The sequence below is a fragment of the Homo sapiens genome, chromosome 5, assembly GCF_000001405.40.
Source record: "Homo sapiens chromosome 5, GRCh38.p14 Primary Assembly".
In the NCBI taxonomy this organism is placed as follows: Eukaryota; Metazoa; Chordata; class Mammalia; order Primates; family Hominidae; genus Homo; species Homo sapiens.
Genome location: NC_000005.10, coordinates 173822175 through 173829761, shown reverse-complemented (window position 1 = coordinate 173829761; position 7587 = coordinate 173822175). Strand labels below are relative to the sequence as shown.

The following is a 7587-nucleotide window of genomic DNA, read 5'->3' as shown; positions in this document are numbered from 1 at the left end:
GCTGGCTAAGTCAGGATTTAAACGGGAATGCTGGGCTTCAAATTGCTGGAGCAAAAAAAGGGATTTCAAATCTGTGGACACCTCTCTGAGATGCATGTGCTATGAGTACTATAAGCTGAAGTGGGCTCGGCATGAGGGGCAAGGTCCTGAGTCAGGATAATCATAAATAATCACAACAGCGTTCATCACGTGCTTGGTGTATGTCAGGATTGTCTATGAATGAACTCACTTCACTCTCACAAGCACAGTCCACACGAAGTGGGTACTATACGCAACAGATGAGAAAACAGAGACATAGAGATGTTAAACTATTTGCCCAAAATCACACAGCTAGTAAGTGGCAGAGCCGGGCAGTTTGGTTTTCAGAACTAGCACTCTGAACTATTAAACTAAGTTGAATCTCCTGAAATAGAATCATGGAAAAGGTTTGTGGTTTTTGTTGGGGGAAGAGATGTGTGGATGGGTCTGTTCAGCTGAAAGAACCTGGGAGAGAAAAAAATGGGGATGACCTGTGATCCTGTCTTTTGAGGAGGTGCCCACCCCAGAGGTGAGCTCACCCTAGTTTTGCTTTGTCTCAAGTTTCAGTCCATACAGGGCAGATGCTGACTAAGGACCCATTCTGTGGCACGCAGTGAGCCTGACTCTGAGAGAGTGGTTGAGTGAGACCCTGCAGTGGCCCTGAGGAGTTCAGGGCCTCCTGGATGCCTGTGGTGCAATGGAGTCAGACAGGTGCAGACCCTGGAGAGGCAGGAGAGGATGCTGGGGTTCCCACTTTCTTCTCAGACAATGAAACCAAGATGGTGGAAGGGTTGGCACCATCCTTCTGTTTGTAATTTCCTCCATGCCTTGTGTCTTTGTGAGTCTTTTCCCCAAGTTCAATTCATCCATACCATCTCTCAACTTTGCACCTTCTCCCATGTCCCTACATACCTCCTCAAGTCTTCTTGTTTCTGAAGATCACAGATCTGATTCCAAATAAGGAAGATTTGGCCAAATCTCAGCTTTTCCAGCATGTAGTTAGAAATGACCCATAGGCCAAGAGAATCCTCTTGTGAGGATTGACTAGGGCCATTTGGTTGTAGAGGCAAATTGCCCTACAGAGTGGTAGGAAGGGACTTGGACTCCACTTGGAGGGTCTCTGCAAATCTCAGCTCTGACACCTATTAGCAGTAGGACTCTGGGTAGTGACTTACCTTCTTTAAACCTGAGCTTCCCTTTCCTATGTAAAATCCTTCACTTACCCCAGCTGCCTTTAAGGGCCCTGCATAATCTAGGCCCCGTTAGACCCTCCAGTCTCATTCCTTACAATTCCTTCATTAGTTAAGATTCGTGGAGCAAATAACAAACAAGCAGCGGCTTAAATCACAAGGATGTCTGTTGTTTCCGTATTGAGAAGTCTGAGGGGTACACCCTTGCAGCGTGGCTTCAGCAGTAGCTCAGTGTCCAGATATCTGGATGGTCCATTGGGTCCACATCTCTCCAGTTCTCTTGGTTTTCCCCTTGTTATCTCAAGATGGCTGCCATGGCTCCAGGCATTGCACCCACACGGGACAGTGACAAACTCTCTTCATGTACTTCTTTACTTTGATCTGAAGCTCCCCAGGAGACTTCTTCTGACACTTTTTTAGATGAGACCATATCATGTGGCCGCTCTAGCTGCAAGGGAAGCTGATGAAGCACACATCTTGCTTTTCTTCTGTTAAGGTAAGGCTGGTGAGGGAGAAGTGGATTGCAAATGCCTGCTGAGTGGCTGAGCAACATTGGCTGCTACATCCCTAACAAACATCCCGTCCCTCTATCACACCAATCTGCTCAGTGTTCCCCCAAAACAGCATAGAATTTCAGGCCTCTCTATCATTTTATATGATGGTTTTCTCTGCCTATAATGCCCTTCCTTCCCTTCTTCATCTGGTAAACCCCTACTTAACTTCTAAGTTTCAACTCGGAGATGCCTTTGTTGAATATCACCTACATTCTCAAGTGTGTGTTAGATGGACCTCTGCTCTCTGGACAGAAAGTGTCCCTTTCCCACCTTCTGTATCCTATTGTCAAGCATATAACCATATAAAACAGGTGTTCATTAAATGTTCATTGAATAAATGAAGTTAATAGTCACTACCTTGCAGTCATTATGAAGTTGAAAATGAAATAAGAAATAATAGACATTTTAATAATAATCGACATACTATTAATAACTTCAACTCACATTAACTGTGTACTTAGCTAAGTGTCAGCCACTGGTCCAAACATCTAAAACGCCTAACTCATCAGATCCTAACAAAAACCCTATGAAGTAAGCCAATTTGTTGGCATGAGCTAGGTTTTGCTGAAGTAAATACCAAAGGTTTATTTCTCACTCCTGCTCAATATTCTTTGTGAGCTGAGGGGATCTCTTTTCACTGTAATTGCTTGAGAATCCAAGCTGGCCATCCTGTAGTTGCAACACTCAAATCACCTGGCCTGCCTCCTTGGTCAACATGGCAAGGTAGAGAGTGTGGAGAACCCATACCAGCTCTGAATGCTTCTATCTAGAAGTGATGTACACCACTTCCCCTTATATTTCCTGGTCAGGGCAAGTCACATAGTCCAAGTTCACAGTCCATGCCCAAGTTCAAAAGATTATGTGTGCTGAAAAAGTTGTTGGTGAGCTCTAGTGTATCTACCACATAGGTGCTCTTATCAGCTTTACTTAACAGATGAAGAAACTGAAGAAGAAAATGAGGGTGAAACCATTTGCCCAAGGTCACATAGCTAGTAAGGGGTTAATGCGGAATTCAAATTTGGCCTTTGTGAATTAGGGCAGAGGTCATCAAACTCTGTAAAGGGTAGGAGAGTGAATATTTTAGGTTTTGCAAGCCATATGGTCTTCGTCACAGCTACTCAACTCTACTGTTATAGCACAAAAACAGCCACAGATGATATGTATATGAGCGGGTATGGCTATGTTCCAATAAAACTTTATTTACAGAAGTATGGGGTGGGCCAGGTTTGGCCAGTGGGCCATGGTTTGCTGACGCCTGAGTGACAGTCCTTGCTCATGACCTCAAGGTTACCTTGAACTCTGCAAATTGTGAGATAATGAACCAATGTGAGTTCTTACATCCATTTTCCACCAAATATCAGCTACAACATGACCTCCCTAGCTGCTCAGAGTTAAATGATTTCACAGACTTTAATGGGTCACTGAGCTTTCATCTAGCCAAGGTTAAGGGTAACCAGCTTCTCTTTGGGGCCTGGTTAATTATTACCGTGCAAGTTTAAAGGGAATGACAGACAGGTAATTTTCTTACTAAAAATGACAACAGGAACCATACCAAGAACCAAGCAAGCCACTCTTAAACCCCCATTAGCTGGTGGGGTCATTTCTAATGGCACATTCACCGACGGGACAATCGTTCTGCTGGCCTATGCTAACCAGCAATTGAAATCAATGGGAGGCTCTGGGCACCAAAGCGGGTTTTTTTCTGGGCCACCTAACCCAGACCTTGTTTTTCCAGCTGACACTCTGCCTGTGTCAGCTAATTCCTGCTTTGGAAAATGCATTCCAGGGCTAATAAGGACTTTAAAGTCACACTATTTTCTCACCATGTTATTAAAACCCAAACGGCTTTGCTTATTCCTAACATGACCAGGAGGTTCTCTGGCTAGCTTAGAAATTGCCCGAATGTCACAGAAGCTGGGGTTTCAATTGGGAAGACAAATCATGAGGTTTATTTATTGATTTTATTAAATTAAGAATTTGTTTTTAAATTATTCAAGTGCTGTAATAGCAAAGCAGTGAGTTAGGTGCCATAAGAGAATCACATGAAGACCACGATTGGACTAGAAGGCTGACATGTTTGAAAATCTGCAAGGCAGCGTTCACCTGCACCACTTACTTACTTGTGGTAGGAAGCTGGGCAAACCTCTTCACTTCACTGAGCCTCAGTTTCCCCACGTGTGAAATGGCAACAATGAGACCAATTTCACGGTGTTGTCATTGATGGTGGCAACGTGTAAGTGCCCCTGAGGCCATTCCTGAATTGCAGCTAGCATGGAAGCAGGAAGGTCGTAGGTCTGGCCAAGCCAGAAATAGCTGAGAACTGGCTCCGGAAAACTGGCAGAATCAAACCCAAGCTGTGCTCCCCAGTGCTAATTGGGAATTCATCAGGAGAAACAATGACCAGCCAGAATAATTAGGAGAATGAGCTAATGGAACCTGCCCACCCCAAGCTTTGTTCATCCTAGGATGGCAACCAGTCCTCCCCCAGGCTGGTCCACAGCTGTCTCGAGGGAGGAGGGCTGTGTGGGGGCAGAGGCAGAGTGTGCCTCATTTCAGCATGCCTATCTTTATCTCCACCATCAGTTCTCACGAATGCTGCGCTGAGCTCACCAGACGGGGCAGCCGGGGCCAATCATCCAAGGCTTAGGGAGACCTGTGGATGCTGGCAGCAAGGCAGGGCCATAAGATGCAGACTAGAGCCAGGCGTTTCCCGGGCCCCTGCTCCTCAGTGGTGCAGCCACAAGCAGAATTTTCAGAAGCATGGATGGGATTTCCGACTTCATCTAGACTTCACATCCGCTTTGTTCAGAAAAGAAAACTCAGGCCCGGAGACGGATAGTTAGTGATTTGCCAAAGGTCGTGTAGACATCAGTATTGCTGCCATCCCAGGAGCCAGACTCAAATCTCCTTACTGACCTGTCTATCTCAACACCCTTTAGAAAGAGAGCCACCAACACTGGAGTTGGAGAGGCTAGGGGTTTGTTTGAACAGAGAAGGGATAGTGTGAGGTCAAGGATGCAAATTTCTAAAATTCTGAGCTGGGTTAAAAGAAAAATCTTTCTCTACTGTGGTAATATCCACATTGGAACAAGGGACCCTCCTCTCATCCCTTCATCACCAGACTATATTCAAGTCACGTATCCCCACCCAGAGGGAAAGGTTAGCTGCAGATGAAGAAGATGGAGCACAAACACTATTATTGCCTGATTCACTTTGTGGAAAATTTTCTAATCCTGGCCCTGCCATTTCCTGGCTGCGTGTCCTTGGGTAAGTTACTTCTCTGCTCTGAGCTCTGATTTCCCCACCTGCCAAACTGGGGTAGTGGTAGAATTGAGAATCTTTTGTAAGCTGTAATTTGTTAGATGAATGGAAGGTTTTGACCAAGGGGATTTTACATGTAAAGCAGACTGAGGCAGAGAATTTTTAGTTCATAGCAGGTGCCCCTGTTCCCTAAAAGAAGGCAAAGAAAAATAATGCCAGGCAGCTACCCCGCAGAGCCTGGAACCTCCTTCCTGTTTTAACAACCTCCCTGTAAACAGTCCAGGGGGTGATAAAGTCTCCTTCACTGAAATTCTGTGGTAAATTGCATTCCAGGCAGACTCACCAATCATTAGCCATGCGATCTTGTTTATCCTGCCCCAGCCTGGAATTTGGCCTCTTACAAAATCCCAGCTACAAAAGGAAAACAGGTTGGACCAAAACTGCTTAGTGAGTAAAGGAAGGCTTCCAAGAGGAAGGCTGGGGGATGTTTACTAAACAGATGCCAGGCCCAGGCCCACGCACCAGACCCTGGCCTGAAAGTTCCAGCTGACCTTCCTGTTGACATTGATTTGAAAGTTTGTGGTATGATCTGGCCCCCAGAGAGGATAGCTCCCAAACTTGGGTAATTGACTAGGCTCTGCCAAAAGTCAGGTCTCCGCTGCCAGTCATGGCCACATTGCCTTCCATTTGCCCAATGGAGGGATTAACATTTGTCGGGTACCTTGTATGGGGTGGGGATTGTGCAGTTCTCATCATTTCCCTCAGAAGTTTTGACAGAAGCATAACTTGAGTCTCTTCTGATCTATTGAGTCATTTGCCCAAGGTCATAGGGCCGGGAGGGTGAAATAGACAGGGGTGGCTGCTGTTTGTGTCGGCCGACACATTTCCTCCCCTCTCCACTTCTTAGGATAGCAGACCAAGATAGCCTGTCCACAGAGGCTGGGTGCAAGACCCAGGCTGATCCAATCCTAAGACCATATCCTCCTGGCAAAATCAGAGAGGAGCGTGCGACCAAGATGGGCCATTCAGATGCTGTTTCAAACATTTAACGTATGTAACTACATTTATGCCTCACGCAATGGACTGAATATTTCTGTCTCCCCAGATTTGTATGTTAAAATCCTAACCTCCAATGTGGTGATATTTGGAGATGGGTCCTTTGGGAGACAACTGAGTCATGAGAGTGGATCCCTCATGGAAGAGATTAGTGCCCTTATAAGAGGGACTCCAGAGAGCTCTCTTTCCTCTTTCCACCCTGCAATGACACAATAACAATCTGCAGCCTGCAGCAGGGCCCTGGAGCCAAACCATGCTGGCACCCTGACCTCAGGCTCCCAACCTCCAGAACTGTGAGAAATAAAGTTCTCTGGTTTATGGTACCTATTAGGTTGGTACAAAAGTAATTGCAGTTTTTGCCATTAGTTGTTTTTTTTGTTTGTTTGTGTGTTTGGTTTGTTTTGTTTTTCTTTTTTTTTTTTTTTTGTGAGATGGAGTCTCGCTCTGTCACCCAGGCTGGAGTGCAGTGGCATGATCTCGGCTCACTGCAAGCTCCGCCTCCTGGGTTCATGCCATTCTCCTGCCTCAGCCTCCCGAGTAGCTGGGACCACAGGCACCTGCCACCACGCCTGGCTAATTTTTCGTATTTTTAGTAGAGACGGGGTTTCACCGTGTTAGCCAGGATGGTCTCGATCTCCTGACCTCATGATCCGCCCACCTCGGCCTCCCAGAGTGCTGGGATTACAGGCGTGAGCCACTGCACCCTGCTTGCCATTAGTTTCAATCACAAGAACTGTAATTACTTTTGCATCAACCGTATAGTTATTGCAGCCCAAACTAAGATACCTCTTAGCAACCCAATGATATAGATCCTTACTGTACAGACAAACAGAGTTGTTATGTAACTTACTGGAGCTCACACAGCTAGTTAGTGGGAAGGCTAAGATTCAAACTCCAGAGCCCACACTCTTAGCCACTAGGCTAGCCTGAGCCTAGTGACTGTCCTCTTTCTGTTCCACCACAAAGCTTCTTGTGGCTTTGTTTTTCGTGAGAACGTCTAGTCCCTCCCCAACTCTGCTTTGAGGTGTTATTTAAACAATGTAATCGGGCCAATCTGCTTCTCATAATGCCTGACTCATTCTCTGTCTTCTACAGTGTCAAGTCCAAGTAGCATGTCTACTGTTGGGTCTGTGCTGCCTCCCCTCAATGGCTCACCCACACCCCCACACACATACACACCCACACACACACACCTGCTGACAGATCAGGCCACTGATGATTTCTGGAAAATGTCAGCTTCCTAGGGTGGCATCGTCCATACATATAATGCAAGTCACGTATGTAATTTTACATTTTCTAGCAGCTACATTAAAAAAGTAAAAAGAGGCCAGGCGCACCTGTAATCCTAGCACTTTGGGAGGCTGCGGCAGGCGGATCACGAGGTCAGGAGTTCGAGACCAGCCTGACCAACATGGTGAAACCTCATCTCTACTAAAAATACAAAAATTATCTGGGCATGGTGGCACGCGCCTGTAATCTCAGCTACTCAGGAGGATGAGGCAAGAGGA

General features: G+C 46.1%; 1 annotated feature.

Annotated features, from left to right (window-relative positions):
- Positions 6938 to 7340: a transcriptional cis regulatory region, noted in NCBI's record as "candidate enhancer chr5.4552 targeted for multiplex CRISPR interference". NCBI's record gives its function as "positively regulates CREBRF gene expression with high confidence in K562 cells {active_cell/tissue: K562}" and the evidence as "EXISTENCE:mutant phenotype evidence [ECO:0000015][PMID:30612741]".